The following is an 18,492-nucleotide window of genomic DNA, read 5'->3' as shown; positions in this document are numbered from 1 at the left end:
AGGGGAATCGCTTGAACCTGGGAGGTGGGAGGTTGCAGTGAGCCGAGATCGCGCCACTGCACTCCAGCCTGGTGACAGAGCGAGACTCCGTCTCAAGAAAAAAAAAATTAATATATACAATATATAACCTATTTAATCCTAATAATACCTGACTGGAAATCAGGTATTATTTCAGGTACTTCTTTCAATGACTGATATAATAAGCAGACCAAAAAAAAAAAAAAAGAATACAGATGACTTGAAAAGCATGACACTTAGCCAACTTTGCCCAGGTGGCATTTATAGAACACCAGAAGCAAAACCTATAGCACACATAGTTTTTACAAATTCACAGAAAACATTTATCAAAATATACCATGTACTAGTCATAAACAGTTCTCAAAATGTCAAAGAACTGGAATTGAGTATACTCTCTGATGAAAGGAAATTAAAACAGAAATCAACAACAGAAAGATAAGAAGCCCCCAGTGTTTGGAAGTTCAGCAACACATTTCTAAAAATTTTGAAATTCCATGCATCAAAGAAGACATCAGAGTGGAAATCAGAAAATATTTTGAGTAACCCAAAGCGACTATTGGAGTAACCCATAATAGACTTTAAATTTGTTGAGATATTTTTGTTGTAGAATTTAAAAATTACTGGGAACTTCATATTCTCCTGTTTCAGTCTTTATTTTAAAGAATGCTTTGATAAAAAAAAGCAAACAACAAAAAAGAATGCTTTGAGATGGCATCTACTCTCAAGGACTCTCATATCTCTTGAAAGACAAAAAAAGATGGAAAAGTTGCCTGACTGTGTGTGTGTGTGTGTGTGTGTGTGTGTGTGCACATGCACGCACATGTGTAGAGAGAGGTGTGCTAGGGAGATGCCCACAAACTTTTTTTTTTTTTTTTTTGAGACAGAGTCTTGGTCTGTCACCCAGGCTGGAGTGCAGTGGTGCAATTTCACCTCACTGCAACCTCCTCCTCCTCCTGGGTTCAAGCAATTCGCATGCCTCAGCCTCCCAAGTAGCTGGGACTATAGGTGCATACCACCATGTCTGGCTAATTCTTATATTTTTAGTAGAGATGGGGTTTTGCCATGTTGGCCAGGCTGGTCTTGAACTCCTGACCTCAGGTGATCTGCCCACCTCAGCCTCCCAAAATGCTGGGATTACAGGCGTGAGCCACTGGGCCCGGCCGACCTAAACTTCTCACAGTATTTACCTCTAAGAGAAAGAGGTAAGAAACTGATCCGGGAATATGAAGGTAAGTGAGAGACTGAGGGCTTTTAAAATAATTCTACATAGCTTAAGTGTTTTCTAAAGCCTTCCTATATTACTCACACCACATTTTAATATAAAACATTATTTTAAATAACTGACCACTGACCTGTGGCACAAAATCACACACCCCTGGAGGTATACTTACCCAGGTTCAAGAAGCACAACCAGATAGAAAAAACAGTATCACAAAACTGGATAACAACTTAGAATAATAATAATAATTGGTCATCTCATTTTGAAATATTACTATTTGTTCTGGGCTCTATGAACAAAATATTTTATATAAATTTAACTTTCAAGTTTAACAAAGTCCATAATATTTATACTTAGTATGAGGATTCCAACGATGTTTTACTTGGGAGGTTAAGAACCAGTTAATAAGGTTGTAAGTATGTCTTCACTAAATCGATTTAGTAATTCTGTATGTTTTTTCAGAAAATGTTAATTTCTAACCTTTCATTTGAGGGTTTAAATCCATTTTCACTCTTTCAATAATACCCTGAACCACAGTACTTCTGGAAGGCACGTAAGCCAATTCCAAAGGAGAAGGAGAAATTAAGGAAGCTGTGATGTAGAAAGGCACTTCATCGACAGGCTGAGCAGCAAAATCGAAAGGTCCGTTCTTATTTATAGTAATAACAGAGCGTGTTGCCAAAAGCGCAGCACTAAACAGAAATGTGAGGACCATTTCCACAACTAAAGCAATACATCGCCGCCTCTAGAAGAAGAAGAAAAAAGATTATGTTAATTGCCCTAAGAGGTTATTAACTTTGCAAGTTCATTTTTGAATTTTTTAATTTTTAATTTTCGTGGGTACATAGCAGGTATACATATTTATGGGTTACGTGAGATATTTTGATACAGGCACACAATGCATAATAATCACATCAAGGTAAATTGGGTATCCATTCCCTCAAGCATTTATCCCTTGTGTTACAAACAATCCAATTACACTCTTTTAGATATTTTTAAATGTGCAATCAAATTATTTTTGACTCTAGTCATTCTGTTGTGCTAGCAAATACTGCCTTATCCATGCTTTCAAGTTTTTTTTGTACCCATTAAACATCTCCACTTCCCCCTTACCTACCCCAAGCTACCCCTTCCCAGCCTCTGTTAACCATCCTTCTACTCTCCATCTCCATGAGTTCAATTGTTTTAATTTTTAGTTTCTACCAATAAGTGAGAACATGCAAAGTTTGTCTTTCTGTGCCTGGCTTATCTCACTTTACATGATGACCTCCAGTTCCACCTATGTTGTTGCAAATGAGAGGATCTCATTCTTTTTCATGGCTGAATAGTCCTGTATTGTGTATAACTGTAATTCTTTTATATTAAGATAAAAGATACTTCATAAAAGAATATATAGATTGCCAAAAACACAGCTTTACTCTATAATAGCAGCAGTTTCCTAGACTTTTTTCTCCTTTCTACATAACATCCTGCTATTAATCTCTCTCTGTGTGAACTCTATATTTGGAAGAGATAACCTAGCCTTCATACTGAGAAAAGTAAAACAGTAAAAATTGAAATTCAAGGATCAAGCTGTCAGAATTTCCCCCTGTGGCCACTGAGCTGTTGTAATAACCCTATAGGTAGTTCAACTTACCTTTAAAATAAAATTCTTCCAGAGAAGAACCATAAATTTTTCAGACTCCGAGAAATCCATTCTTCTAAAAAGAGAGGAAGTTCAACTCTATGGAGGGAGTAAATATTTTTTAAAAAGAAAAGATTATCTAATGATGTGTAAATTTTAGACAAGCACATCACTTAAATTTAAATTACTTAATTTTATAATCAAGCTTTAAAGACAAGAAATATTTAATATTTAAAATAAGAAATATACAGATTTAAAATATTTGAGCAGTTGTTTATCCCTATTTTTTTTTTTGAGACAGAGTCTCACTCTGTCACCCACGCTGCAGTGGTGCAGTCTCAGCTCGCTGCAACCTCTTCCTCCCGGGTTCAAGTGATTCTTCTGCCTCAGCCGCCTGAATAGCTGGGATTACAGGCGTCTGCCACCATGCCCGGCTAATTGTTGTATTTTTAGTAGAGATGGGGTTTCACCACGTTTGCCTGGCTGGTCTCGAACTGCTGACCTCAAGTGATCCGCCCGCCTCAGCCTCCCAACCTACATTTTTAATTTAGTCAACATTTATGGAGCTTCTAATATGAATAAAATACCAACCACAAAACAAAGATCAGTAAGTTGTTGATGCAAGTTTCCAGGTAAATCTTGCCAGTAGCTTTCCCAATCCCCATGGAAATACTAATTTAAAAACAACAAAAAACAAGTAAGTCACCACCAATGGCAAAGCAACAAAACAGTATAGAAAATCACAGCACAACTATAAGCCCAAAATGCTATTCAATAATCTATCAGATTGGAAGTAACTACCATTAATAGTATTGCTAAGGGGAACAGATTTGCAATGAACTGAATGTTTATGTTCCTCTGACTTCATATGTTAAATCCTAACACCCAAGGTTAAGGTATTTTGAAGTGGGGATTTAGGGGCCAGGCACAGTGGCTCATGCCTGTAATCCCAACACTTTGGGAGGCCGAGGCGGGTGGATCACCTGAGGTCAGGAGTTTGGACCAGCCTGGCCAACATGGTGAAACCCTGTCTCTACTAAAAATACAAAACATTAGCCGGGCCTGGTAGTGGACACCTGTAATCCCAGCTATTCGGGAGGCTGAGGCAGGAGAATCGAAGCAGGAGAATCACTTGAACCAGGGAGGCAGAGGTTGCAGTGTGCTGAGATTGCGCCATTGCACTCCAGCCTGGGCAACAAGAGTGAAACTCTATCTGGGCAACGAGTGAAACTCTATCTCAAAAAATTAAATAAATAAAAATAAAAATGAAGTGGGGATTTAGAGAGGTATTAGAATGGGATGAGTTCCCTTATAAAAGAGTCCCCACAGAGATCCCTCATTCCTTCCACCATGTGAGGACACAAAGAAAAGACAGGCCAACCAGGAAAGGGGTCCTCACTAGACAAGGAATGTGCTGCCACCTTGATCTTGGACTTCACAGCCATCAGAACTGTAAGCAATAAACTACTGTTTTTAAGCCACATAGTCTGTGGTATCTTGCTATAGTATCCCAAATGGACCAAGAGAAGGTTCATTCTTATATTGAATATTTTCTGAATACCTACTACATGTCATGTGAGGTGTGGGTGTACAATGGGAAACAAAACAAATGAAACTCATCCCTCATGGTAGGGGTGACGTGGAAGGTTCCTTTTAATAACCCAGGATCTGAAGTTAGACTGCCTAGGTTGAAATCGTACCACTACCATGTGGGATTTCACAACTATGTGACCATGAATATCTGACTTAAATTCTTGGGGCTACGAGAAAGAGAGCTGGAATTCAGAGCCAAGAATGGAAGGGATTAGATTAGGACTTGACTTTATAAGTAAGGAGAAACCTAAAGGAGATTGACCTTCCCTGGGACTGCAAATAATCTCAATCCTTTTAGCTTCTACAAATCCCGGCTTCAAATTATCTCAATCCTTGATACTGGATGAGGGCGCTCCCAAGATTGCAAGTACTGACAGCTGCCTAGTATAAAAAATGAATCCTCTCTGGAAAAAAATAACAAAATGCTATAGTCAACTACTCCTACAAGCAATTTTTCTGAATATGACATAAGATGAACATAAGATACTTTAAAATCTCTACTATTACTACAGAATATCTTTCTGACCTTGGGGTAGGCAGCGATTTCTTAAAATGGATACTAAGGACACAAACCATAAAAAAGGGGCTTTATCAAAATCTAAAATTTCTGCCCATCAAAATCTAACCTAACATCAAGAAAATAAGTCGGGGACTGAGCCTTCACGTCTGCCCTAGCACCAGGCTAGATCTCACAGCTCCAGGTTCTGGGCCTACCTGGTAGACCCAGCTGCCAGGCTGGCCCCTATGGATACAGGCTCCAGGCTTACCCATTGCCAGGCTAGTATCAGCAAACTGAGCCTCCAAGCCCATACTAATGTCAGGCCAGATTCTGCAGTCCCAGGTTCCAGCCCAGCCTGGTGGACTTGGTCTCTGGTCCTGCCCCTGCAGTAGGCTGACCCAAGCACTAGGCAGGCCCCAGTGGCCCTGGGCTTCAGCCCCATCCTAGAACAAGGATGGCACACCTGGGCTCAAACACCTGGCAGGCACCTGCAAACACAGGGCCCAGGCCTTCCCTGTGCCAAGCCTTGTGAACCCAGGTCCTAATGAGAGGTGACAGCGTGCTGGCAGTCCTCACAGCCCTCACTCGCTCTCGGCGCCTCCTCTGCCTGGGCTCCCACTTTGGCGGCACTTGAGGAGCCCTTTGGCCCGCCGCTGCACTGTGGTAGCCCATTTCTGGGCTGGCCAAGGCTGGAGCCCACTCCCTCAGCTTGCAGGGAGGTGTGGAGGGAGAGGCGCGAGCGGGAACCGAGGCTGCCTGCGGCGCTTGTGGGCCAGCTGGAGTTCCGGGTGGGCGTGGACTTGGCGGGCCCCGCACTCGGAGCAGCCAGCCAGCCCTGCTGGCCCCGGGCAGTGAGGGACTTAGCACCCAGGCCAGTGGCTGCAGAGGATGTACTGGGTCCCCCGGCAGTGCCAGCCCACCGGTGCTGCACTCCATTTCTCACCGAGCCTTAGCTGCCTTACCGCGGGGCAGGGCTTGGGACCTGCAGCCCGCCATGCCTGAGCCTCCCACCCACTCCATGGGCTCCTGTGCAGCCCGAGCCTCCCCCACGAGCATCACCCCCTGCTCCATGGCACCCAGTCCCATCGACCACCCAAGGGCTGAGGAATGCGAGCACACGGCGCGGGACTGGCAGGCAGCTCCACCTGCAGCCCTGGTGCGGGATCCACTAGGTGAAGCCAGCTGGGCTCCTGAGTCTGGTGGGGATGTGGAGAGTCTTTATATCTAGCTCAGGGATTGTAAATACACCAATCAGCACCCTGTGTTTAGCTCAAGGTTTGTGAGTGCACCAATCAACACTCTGTATCTAGCTGCTCTGGTGGGGCCTTGGAGAACCTTTATGTCTAGCTCAAGGATTGTAAATACACCAATCAGCACTCTGTATCTAGCTCAAGGTTTGTAAACACACCAATCAGCACCCTGTGTTTAGCTCAAGGTTTGTGAGTGCACCAATCGAAACTCTGTATCTAACTAATCTGATGGGGACGTGGAGAACCTTTGTATCTAGCTCAGGGATTGTAAACGCACCAATCAGCGCCCTGACAAAACAGGCCACTCAGCTCTACCAATCAGCAGGATGTAGGTGGGGCCAGATAAGAGAATAAAAGCAGGCTGCCCTAGCCAGCATTGGCAACCCGCCCGGGTCCCCTTCCACACTGTGAAAGCTTTGTTCTTTCGCTCTTTGCAATAAATCTTGCTACTGCTCACTCGTTGGGTCCACGCTGCTTTTATGAGCCGTAACACTCACCGCGAAGATCTGCAGGTTCACTCCTGAGCCCAGCGAGACCACGAACCCACCGGGAGGAACGAACAACTCCAGACGCGCTGCCTTAAGAGCTGTAACACTCACTGCGAAGGTCTGCAGCTTCACTCCTGAGCCAGCGAGACCACGAACCCACCAGAAGGAAGAAACTCCGAACACATCTGAACATCAGAAAGGACAGACTCCAGACGCGCCACCTTAAGAGCTGTAACACTCACCGCGAGGGTCCGTGGGTTCATTCTTGAAGTCAGTGAGACCAAGAACCCACCAATTCTGGGGACACTACCATGGCTCCAGGACTCAGTTCTTCACAGACCTAGCTTCTGGACTAGCAACCATACACCCAGCCTCCAGGCTGGCACCAGTGGACACAGGCTACAGGTAAGCCCCAACTAGGCACAATGCTAATGCCTAGTTCTAGACCCCTGAGGATAGCAAAATCCATGGATGCTCAATGTCTTATATAAAATGGTGTAGTATTTGCATATAATCTACACACATACTCCTTATGCCTCAGATTTTCTCTAGATACTCATAGTACCTAATATAAAATCTATATAAATATTTGTTACACTGTATTGCTTTTTATTTGCATTATTATCATATTATTATTTTTTTACTATTTTTGGCCCAGAGTTGAATCTGTGGATGTAGAACACACAGATATGGGGGGGTCAATTGTACACATTCTTCTCAAGCACACACAGAACGTTCTCCAGGAGAGTTCATATGTTAGGCCACAAGATAAATCTTAATAAATTTATGAAGCCTGAAATCCATTTCAAATACCTTTTCCGGCCACAATGGTATTATACTAACAATCAAAAATAGACAGAATTTCAGAAAATGCAGACGCATATGGTAATTAAACAACATTCTCCCAAACAACCAATGGGTCAATGTAGAAATTAAAGGGATCATTTAAAAATATCTTGAGGCAAATGAAGACGGAAACACAACATACAAAAATATATAAGATATATAGTATACAGCAAAAATGGTTCTAAGAGTGAAGTTTATAGCAATAAACATCTACATCAAAAAAGAAGAAAGATCTCAAACACCCTAACATTATAACTAGAAACTAGGTATAGGAACTACAATTGGAAACTAGAAAACCAGGAACTAGGAAAACAAGGACAAACTAAGCACAAAGTTCACAGAAGGAAGGATAAAATAAAGATCAGAGCAGAAATAAATGAAATAGAGACTAAAGAAACAATAGAAAAAAAATCAACAAAACTTGTGAAAAAGATAAAACAGACAAACTTTTAGCTAGAATAACTAATAAAAAAGGAGAGGAGATTCAAGTAAAATCAGAAATAAAAAAGGAAACATTATAATGGATACTACAGACATACAAATTATCATTAGAGACTATGATGACAATTATGTCAACAAATTAGATAACCTAGAAGAAATGAAAAAATTCCTACCTGTATTAATCCTACCAAGTATTAATCACAAAGAAAAAGAAAATCTGAACAGACTGATAACAGACTGATAAAATAGACTGACAACAGACTGATAACAAATAGACTGATTAAAAAAAAAGATTGAATCAGTAATAAAAAGTCTCCCATTAAAGAAAAGCCTAGAATCAGATGGCTTCTGGGCTGAATTCTACAAAACATTTAAATAAGAAATAGGACCAATCCTTATCAAACTCCAAAAAGTTGAAGAAAAAATATTTCCAAACACATCTTATGAAGCCAGCACTATCGTGACACCAAAGCCAGACAAGGACATACAAGAAAATTACAGGCTGGCCAGGCACGGTGGCTCATGACTGTAATCCCAGCACTTTGGGAGGCCGAGATGAGCAGGGCAGGAGTCTGAGACCAGCCTGGCCAACGTGGTGAAACCCCATCTCTACTAAAAATACAAAAATTAGCTGAGCATGGTAGCACATGCCTGTGATCCCAGCTACTCGGGAGGCTGAGGCAAGAGAATTGTTTGAACGTGGGAGGCGGCAGAGGTTGCAGTAAGCTGATATCATGCCACTGCGCTCCAGCCTGGGCAACAGAGTGAGACTCCATCTCAAAAAAAAAAAAAAAATTACAGGCTAATATCCCTGATGAACATAGATGCAAAAATCCTCAACAAAATACTAGCAAACTGAATTCAACAGCATATTAAAAGGATCATTCACTCACCACAATAAAGTGAGACTTATCTTTGAGATCCAAGGATGGTTCAACATATGCAAGTAAATATTAATACACCACATTAACAGAATAAAGGACAAAGACCATATATTATCTCAACAGATGCAGAAGAAGCATTTGACAAAATTCAATATCCTTTCATGATAAAAACTCTAACCATATTAGGCACTGAAGGAATGTAACTCAACACAATAAAGACTATATATGACAAGCTCACCATTAATATCATACACAAGAGTAAAAAATAGAAAGCTTTTTCCAAAAGTATCTCAGGAAAGGTACAAAGATGTCCACTCTTACGACTCCTATTCAATATAGTAATGGAAGACCTAGCCAGAGCAATCAGGCAAAAAAAGAAAGAGAAGCCATCCAAATTGGAAAAGAAGAAGCCAAATGGTTCCTGTTTGCAGATAACATGAAAACCCTAAAATGTCAGTGAAAACACTGCTAGAACTAATAAAATACAATAAAGTTACAGGATATAAAGTCAACATACAAAAATAATAGTTTCAGCCGGGCATGGTGGCTCACACCTGTAATCTCAGCACTTTGGGAGGCTGAAGCAATTGGCTCACTTGAAGTCAGAAGTTCAAGACCAGCCTGACCAACATGGTGAAACCCCATCTCTACTAAAAATACAAAGTTAGCCAGGCATGGTAGCACACATCTGTAATCCCAGCTACTTGGGGGACTGAGACAGGAGAATCACTTGAATCTGGGAGGCGGAGGTTGCAGTGAGCCGAGATTTCGCCATTGCACTCCAGCCTGGGAAACAAAAGCGAAACTGTCTCAAAAAAAAAAAAAAAAAAGTTTCTATACATTAGCATTAAACCATCTGAAGTGAAATAAAAAAGGCAACTGTATTTACGATAGCTATGAAAAATACTTATGAACAAATATAGCCAAGGAAGTGAAAGAGCTGTATATTGAAAATCATAAAACATTGATGAAAGAACTTGAAGACACAAATAAAAAGAAAGATATTCCATGTTCATGGATTGAAACAATATTGTTAAAATGTCCATACTACCAAAAGTGATCTACAGATTGAATGCAATCCCTATCAAAATCCCAATGACACTTTTCAAAGAAATAGATTAAAAGTCATAAAATTTTTATTGTACCACAAAACCCCAAATATCTAAAACATTTTTGAGGAAAATGAACAAAATGGAGGCATCATACTTCCTGACTTCAAAATATATTACAAATCTACAGTAATCAAAACAGCATGGTACTGCTATAAAAACAGACACATAGACCAAAGGAAGACAATAGATAGCCCCAAAATAAACTCACACATTTACCACCAATTAATGGATTTTTGACAAAGATGCCAAGAACACACAATGGGAGAAAAGATAGTGTCTTTAATAAATGGAGTTTAGAAATGTGGATTATACATGCAAAAGAATGAAATTAGACTCTTATACCATGTACAAAATCAACTCAAAATGGATTAAATTCTTTTTTTTTTTCCTTTTCTTTTTTTTGAGACAGAGTCTCACTCTGTCGCCCAGGCTGGAGTGCGGTGGCATGATCTCCGCTCACTGCAAGCTCTGCCTCCCAGGTTCATGCCATTCTCCTGCCTCAGCCTCCCGAGTAGCTGGGACTACAGGCACCCACCACCACGTGGGCCTGGCTAATTTTTTGTATTTTTAGTAGAGACAGGGTTTCACTGTGTTAGCCAGGATGGTCTCGATCTCCTGACCTCGTAATCTGCCTGCCTCGGCCTCCCAAAGTGCTGGGATTACAGGCGTGAGCCACCACGCCTGGCCATTCGGATTAAATTCTTAAATGTAATACCTGAAACTATAAAACTACTAGAAGACAACGTATAGGAAAAGCTGTGCAACTAGCTCTACCAAATATTAAAACATACTATAAAGTCTCTGTAGTTAAAAATGTGTTGTACTGGTACGTAAATTGAAAGACAGCCAAATGGAACAGAATAGAAAGTCTAGAAATAAACCAAAATACATATAGAAATTTAGTTTATTATATAGGTAACATCCCAACTAACTGGGAAAAAATTCTACTTTATAGTAAATGGTGTTGTAACAAATGGATAGTCATTTGGAAAAATATAAAATGTGGGAGTGGGAAAAGTCTCCATGAATCAAAATCTAGTATCAAGATAAGTCTGATAACATAGTACTTACAAATATGTTTTATGAAGTAAATGTCAACACAAAGCCAAAAGATAAATAACAAACTGGGAGAAAATAACTTGTATCACAGATAAAGGGCTAATCTCTCATATATATATATACACATATATATATACATATATATACACATATATATACGTATATATATACACATATATATATATATACGTATATATATACACATATATGTATATATACACACATATATACACATATATGTATATATACACACATATATATACATATATATATATGAAGAGGTCTATAAATTGAAGGGGGAGGGATAACCATTAGAAAAATGAAAAAAAAATTTGTTTAATTTATTTGTAGATTCTGGATATTAGCCCTTTGTCAGATGGATTGCAAAAATGTTCTCCCCATCAAAAAGTGGGTGATAGATATGAACAGACACTTCTCAAAAGAAGACATTTATGCAGCCAACAAACATATGGAAAAAAGCTCATCATCACTGGTCATTAGAGAAATGCAAATCAAAGCCACAATGAGATACCATCTTATGCCAGTTAGAATGGTGATCATTAAAAAGCCAGGAAACAACAGATGCTGGAGAGGATGTGGAGAAATAGGAATGCTTTTACACTGTTGGTGGAAGTATAAATTAGTTCAACCATTGTAGAAGACAGTGTGGTGATTCCTGAAGGATCTAGAACTAGAAATACCATTTGACCCAGCAATCCCATTACTGGGTGTATACCCAAAGGATTATAAATCATTCTACTATAAAGATACGTGCACACGTACGTGAATTGCACTATTCACAATAGCAAAGACTTGGAACCAACCTAAGTGTACACCAATGACAGACTGGATAAAGAAAGTGTGGCATATATGCACCATGGAATACTATGCAGCCATAAAAAGGATGAGTTCATGTTCTTTGCAGGGACATGGATGAAGCTGGAAGCCATCATTCTAAGCAAACTAACACAAGAACAGAAAACCAAACACCCCATGTTCTCACTCATAAATGGGAGTTGAACAGTGAGAACACATGGACGCAGGGAGGGCAGCATCACACACTGGAGCCTGTCGGTGGGTGGAGGGCTAGGGGAGGGACAGCATTAGGAGAAATACCTAATGTAGTGATGGGTTGATGGGTGCAGCAAACCACCATGGCACGTGTATACCTATGTAACAAAACTGCACGTTCTGTACATGTACCCCAGAACTCAAAGTATAATAAAAAAAATTTGAAAAATGAAAAAAAAAAACAGTTCAAAGAAAAATAGTCCTCAAACATAACAAAAGATCCTCATATTCACTCATAACCATAGTGTCAATTAAAACTGACAAGTCATTACTTACTTTCAGAAGCTTTACAACACATTGTAGGTGAGCCTTTATGAAAATAAATACAATCCCATCAAAGTTCCAATAAGCAACTGTGTAGAAATTCTAGTGCTGGAATAGTCAAAAACAACTTTAGAAAAGAACAAAACTAGAGGTCTTATACTATCTGATTTCAAGATATATAAAATTACTGTAATTAAAACTGTGTGGTATTGGTGAAGACACAGATACATACATCAATGAAACTGAACGGAGTCCAGAAATAGACCCACACTAAGATGGTCAATTTTTTTTTCCCACAAAAGTACCAAGGGAACAAAGAGAAGTCTTTAAAAAAAACAGTGCTGGAATAACTGAATATCCTTATGGGGGAAAAACAATAGCACCAACTTTACCTCATACTAGGAACAAGAAATTAACTCGAGATGGGTCACAGACCTAAATGAAGGAAGCTAAAAGTACAAATTTAAAAGAAAACAGGAGGAATGAATAAAATGAAGAAACTTAGGAGAAAATCTCTGTTACCTTCAAGGGGGTAGGGATTTCTTACTTTGCATACCCAAGGTATGAGCCATAAAGGAAAAATTGGTAAATTAAACTCCATTAAAATACAAAAAAAAAAATGTACTCTTGTAAAGATACTGCTAAGGAAACAGAAATGCAAGTGGAGAAAGAAAATATTCATAATACATATCTAATAAAGAATTTTATTCACAATAGGTATTTATTCACAATACATATCTGATAAAAAATACAAAAAAAATTAGCCAGGTGTGGTGGCACATGCCTGTAACCTTAGCTACTCAGGAGGCTGGGGTGGGAGGATTGCTTGAACCTGGGAGGCAGAGGTTGCAGTGAGCTGAGATCACACCACTGCACTCCAGCCTGGGCAAACAGAATACGTAAAGAATTCATACAAAACTACAGGGGCAGAAAACAGACCAGCAGTTGTCGAGGTCTAGGCATGGGAGGATTTCACAAAGGGGTACAAGGAAGACAAAGTAAGATACCCAAAATAGTATCTTCTGCATGATTCCATTCATATAAAGGTATAGGCAAAAATGACATCAATGGTTATAGGGGAGGGGTTTGTGATTGATTAGGAAAGGGCAAGAGGGAATTTTCTGGTGTTACAGAAATGTTCTGTGTCTTGATTAGGTGTGCACATTCTTTGAAACTGATCAAACTGTCACTCAAAATCTGAGCACTTCATTTCATGTAAACTGTATCTCAATAGAAAAACATTTTAGAAATCATTACAATTGCTATATACTGGATACAGACAATAATCTTAAACTACCCAGTGGTGGGGATGGTATCTTGTTCTCCTTTGTCTCTCAAACACCATGGAGCTTAGTGCATTGTGCATTGTTTTATATAAAGCACACGGCCCTGCAAATCTCAATTAATACATGATTAATTTTTTTTTTTTTTTGAGATGGAGTTTTGCTCTTGTTGCCCAGGCTGGAGTGCAATGGCGCGATCTCGTCTCACTGCAACCTTCACCTCCCGGGTTCAAGCGATTGTCCTGCCTCAGCCTCCCAAGTAGCTGGGATTACAGGTGCGTGCCATCACGCCTGGCTAATTTTTTGTGTTTTTAGTAGAGATGGGGTTTAACCATGTTGTTGAGGCTGGTCTCAAACTCCTGACCTCAGGTGATCCAACTGCCTTGGCTTCCCAAAGTGCTGGGATTACTGGCATGAAATACATGACGAATCTTAATCAAAATGGCAGAGCAGGTGTTTGGCTGATGTGGTGATGGGGTAAAATCAATTTGTGATTCATACAGCCTTCCAACTTCACAACTATGCCATTCTTAAAGGATTTTTCATGGAAGGGGGCTTCACATCAGGTGCTTACTCCTTAGTGCAGCTGATCAATACACTCAATACATGTCTGCAAACTTTAAAGGAATTTATGCAGCAGATCCAAGTCTTAAAGGCTATTTAAAAAAAAAGCAAACAAACCTAGAAACAAAGTTCATAAAGCAAAACCATAGCAAAACAAAGATTCAGGCAGAAAGATGTTCATGATAACACTGGAAAACAGTAAGATCAAATGAAAACAGAAAGAATGATTACATAAATCATGCCAATACCTTCAATAAAATCCTGTTCCTCTGTTACAAAGAAGGGATAGATATAGATACACTGTCATGAGAGGATAATATACTACTAAGGTAGAAAAAGTAAACTGCAAAATATTATACATGATATAAACACATTGTTTGGAAAAATATATATGTAGAGAAAAGAAGTACATGTACAGAAAAGAAAAATGGTAGAAGATCTGTTGATAGTATGTCCTCAGGAGGTGGAAAATGGGGGACTTACACATTTTACAAATTGTATGTCTATAGAGTTTGAATTTTATGTAATGTACCTGTATTGTTTTTCTAATTAACTCTTCAGGTGGGGGAACAGGTAAACCTGTGAAGAAGGAATCATCTGAAACACTCTCCCACTAACTTTTTTCTCTTGCTCTTTTAGTGGGTAATGTTTTGGAATATTAACCATAAGTTTTCAATTCAGTACCATCCCTCATTCAATCTTTTATTTTTTGGTCTCGGGGAAGACAGAGCAATACTTAATACCTACAAAGACAATGGCCAGTTCTTTCAGTTGACCCTTTCCAGGGTAAAACAACGGATTGGAAATAATGCACAATAAGGAAATGCCGAAGCCCGGCTCCTCAGCATCATCCCATCCCTTTCACTATTCCCAAAATAGATTTGGGGGATCTTATAGCGCAAGAGTCCTGACTCCAAAACAGCCTGGCCAGGAATAAGTACACATCAACATCCTGGTCCTAAATATGAAACACCCCCCACCCTTATCCCTCATAACTTGGATGCAACCCTTGTAAGGGAAAAGGAGGGTTGGAAGGAGCATGAACCTAAAATGCCTGAAAATTATTAGGGCAACCTGCCAAACTGTAGTCGCAAAAGAACAAATAGTTATTGGAAATTAAGCAATTACATGGTTCATAGCCCTGAATTATTAGAATTAAATTTATACTTACTATTTAATTTCAGCTCCTTTTCTAAAAAGCACTGAACTGCTTTAACTGAAACACTGTAATTTTCTTAATTGTACTTAAATATGTTTCTTTTCTTTTAAATTTTCTGCCTACTTTGCATAAAATGAGGTAGCCAAGACCACCTTAAAGTTCTCAGCTTGACTTGAAAAGGCTTTTTCCTGACTCTAGGCCCAAAACTTTCTTTTCTTAGAGCATGATATGGTTTGACTCTGTGTCCACACCCAAATCTCATCTTGTAGCTCCCATAATTCCCACGTGTTATGGGAGGGACCCTGTGAGTGATGACTGAATCATGGGGATGGGTTGTTCCCGTGCTCTTCTCATGATAGTGAGTAAGTCTCATAAGAACTGATGGTTTTCAAATGGGGAGTTTCCCTGCACAAGCTTTCTTGTCTGCCACTATGTGAGATATACCTTTCACCTTCTGCCGTGATTGTGAGGCCTCCTCAGCCACGTGGAACTGTAAGTCCAATAAACCTCTTTCTTTTGTAAATTGCCCAGTCTTGGGTATGTCTTTATCAGCAGTGTGAAAACAGATTAATACAGAGCATTTTCTTTAGAAAGCTTTTCACTGTAAATTCTTTCTCTGTCTTGAGATATCTGTAACTCTTTTTAATAGCCTCTTACTAGTTTTACAAACCAGAATCATCTTTGTCAAGGACCTGGGAGCCATTCCTTTGAAATGCAATCATCAAGGAAGACGGTCCCCCTATCTCCCAGTTTCTGTGGGAGGGTAGGAGCCTAACTTCCCTGAGAGCCAATTAGCAAACACAGCTGGCCTAATCACGGAGGAAACACTTGTAAACTCAGCAAACAACTCAGTATGCTTCCGACAGCCCTCCAGCACCTTTCTACTCTCATCCTAGAGCTTAAAAACCCTGCCCCACTTTGTTTCAGCAGAGTTAGTTTAGACTGAGTTCTGGTCTCTCTTCCCTAGGACAACAGCTTTGCATAAAGTATTCCTTACATATGTGACTTTCTCTGGTGTAATTTATGCTTTCACAAAGGAAAACTAAGACAAATTAAACTACCTATAATCACTGAACTTCCACAGCCCCTTCTGCCATTTATGGAACACTTAACATGTTCTCGCAATGTAAGTATCAGGACTGCCCTCTGAGTTGGATACAATAGCATCCTTTCCTCTTATAGTTATTTTCAGATATAAGCCTTAGGAAATGGAGGCTTAGAGAAACCAAGCAATTTGCCATAGGTCACAGCAAATAAATTCTGGACTAGTCAGGACTAGGGACAAGGCATTTGCCTCCAAAGTCAGTGCGTTCAAGCACTTTGCATAGCCAATATAAAATTCCTAACAGTGCTTCTATTTGATTTGATTGTGTGTATGTGTGTGTGGGTGTGTGTGTGTTGGCGGGGGGATGAGGAAGTCTCTGGAGGATTTATATGCGTGAGTTTTGTTTGGGGGTCGCCCTTTTGGGCTCTGCGCGCCCATCGCGGCTAGCGGGTGGGCCTCCCGGGCGTCGGGGAGCAGCTGCAAGCGCAGGGGGACGCCGGCAGAAGAAGGACGCGCCAGGACTCCCTAGCACGCACCCTCAGGCCTCGCCGCTGCCGCCTCCGCCTCCGCCGCTGAAGGGCGCGCGTCCACCCGGCGGGACTCCTCCTCCCAACGCCCTCCCCAACCACCAGCCGCCCGCGGGCAGGTTGGCAGCCTGGCCCTCGCGCGGACCCGGCCGGGAGCTGGCTGCACTAGGGCTGGGGGCGCGCAGTGCGCGGAGCGGTAGGAGTCAGCGGTGCGGAAGGCAGGAGGTGCGGGTGAAGCTGTCGGCGGTGCTCGAGGGGAGCACGCAAGAACCTCCTCAGTCCCTCTTCCGCACGTGCGCCCACGAGTGTAGTCCCCAGTTTGTTCCACCTATTATCCCGCAGCTCCAGTGCGCCCCACCTGTTGCCTCACCAGCCCAACGTTACTTCTTCCCTGCTTCCTCGCCAGCCCGTCTGGGGGCGGAGACCTCACCCACCGCCCCACCCACCTCGTCTCATGCTCCCACCCACCTCGTCCCATGCGCACACCCATCTCGTCCCTTGCGCTCACCCACCTCGTCCCATGCGCCCTACCCTATGCCCCAAGTCCCTGAAAGGGCCCCACCTAGGTACCCTTTTGGGTCGTCTTCAGGTTCTTTGCCTTGTCGACCCTCCTGGACGACCCCACATTTCTCCGCCTCTCGCGGGCTTCTCTCTCCCTCGTGTGCCATGGTCACCTTCAGCTGGCCCAGCCGCTGATGACAGAAGTTTAAGAAGATTCATGAGCCGCTGCTCCTCAGGGTCTACTGGAGTTTAGCAGATAACTTCCCAAAGGCCCGGGGTCCTGCAAACCCCTCATGCGGGCCACCCAAAAGATTCCGTCCTGGAGCAGACCCCGCGCCACGCGCGCTGTACTCGCGTTCCTTTTTCCAGCCAGCGCAGCCCTGCGGCTTCTGTCCGGGACGGTTCTGCGCGTGGGACGCCCAGCCCGCTTCATCTGCGCCCGCTGCCTTTACCCGCCAGCCACTCCGGCGTTTCCACCTCCGTGTATTTCTCATGCTCCCCACGTTCTATAATGCTTGCTCCTCTTGGCGCGCCCCACCCCAATTCTCGCATCCAGTGTGGCTTCCTGTTTAGAATCGCAGCTTCTGATTGGATCACAGGCCAAATTCACTCTTCCCTGCAATGCCGGATACGACTTGCTCCAGCTCCGAAGTTAAGCTTTGTCAGGAGAGGGCGCAAGAGGAACACTGCAGGACAAGGAGTTCTCTTCCTGGTTGGGGAAAAATCCAGGACTGTATAGAACATCCTCCGCCCCAAACTGGGAAAGGAGCCAACAGACCAAAGAATGACTCAGACCAGTCCAGCTTGATGAGTAGATGAGTTTATTGGGACTCACGTGTAGGGCATTTCTTTTTTTTTTCTTTTTCTGTTTTTTTTTTTTTTTTAAGAGGGAATCTCATGGCACCTCGTTTTCATCATCACTGGATGATTTCTCTGGGTTAGCAAAGGTCAGGAAGACTTGTTCCAGTGTGATCTGACAGAATAGTCTTCTAAATCAAATTGCTCTTTAGCTTGCTCCAAAATGCCAAACACCTTTAACAACAGC

The 18,492-nt window shown here is 41.7% G+C and overlaps 1 protein-coding gene and 1 pseudogene across 2 annotated transcripts in view, besides 2 other annotated features; one reads left to right on the top strand and one right to left on the bottom strand.

Moving 5' to 3' along the window:
* Positions 1-252: 252 nt before the first annotated feature.
* On the bottom strand, positions 253-17,995 carry ABCA15P (ATP binding cassette subfamily A member 15, pseudogene; annotated as a pseudogene). The gene is made up of 3 exons (NR_026675.1): positions 17,509-17,995; positions 2,874-2,960; positions 253-1,982 (listed from the first exon to the last, which is right to left on the bottom strand). The product of NR_026675.1 is annotated as an ATP binding cassette subfamily A member 15, pseudogene (transcript).
* The window catches only part of CRYM (crystallin mu), a 44,542-nt gene continuing 41,831 nt past the window's right edge, over positions 15,782-18,492 (top strand). The window contains exon 1 of the mRNA NM_001888.5: positions 15,782-15,866. The gene's annotated coding sequence lies outside the window, so the exon portion shown is untranslated. The remainder of the gene's footprint in view (positions 15,867-18,492) is intronic.
* Positions 15,868-16,456: an enhancer, noted in NCBI's record as "OCT4-NANOG hESC enhancer chr16:21313709-21314297 (GRCh37/hg19 assembly coordinates)". NCBI's record gives its function as "activates a minimal SCP1, AML or CMV promoter by ChIP-STARR-seq in primed H9 embryonic stem cells {active_cell/tissue: H9 hESC(primed)}" and the evidence as "EXISTENCE:reporter gene assay evidence [ECO:0000049][PMID:30033119]".
* Positions 16,899-17,158: a silencer, noted in NCBI's record as "silent region_7250". NCBI's record gives its function as "represses an Ori minimal core promoter by ATAC-STARR-seq in GM12878 lymphoblastoid cells {active_cell/tissue: GM12878}" and the evidence as "EXISTENCE:reporter gene assay evidence [ECO:0000049][PMID:35858748]".

The sequence above is a fragment of the Homo sapiens genome, chromosome 16 (genome assembly GCF_000001405.40).
Source record: "Homo sapiens chromosome 16, GRCh38.p14 Primary Assembly".
Lineage (NCBI taxonomy): Eukaryota > Metazoa > Chordata > Mammalia > Primates > Hominidae > Homo > Homo sapiens.
The sequence above is the reverse complement of the archived record's forward strand: the minus strand, read 5'-3'. Positions and strand labels throughout refer to the sequence as shown.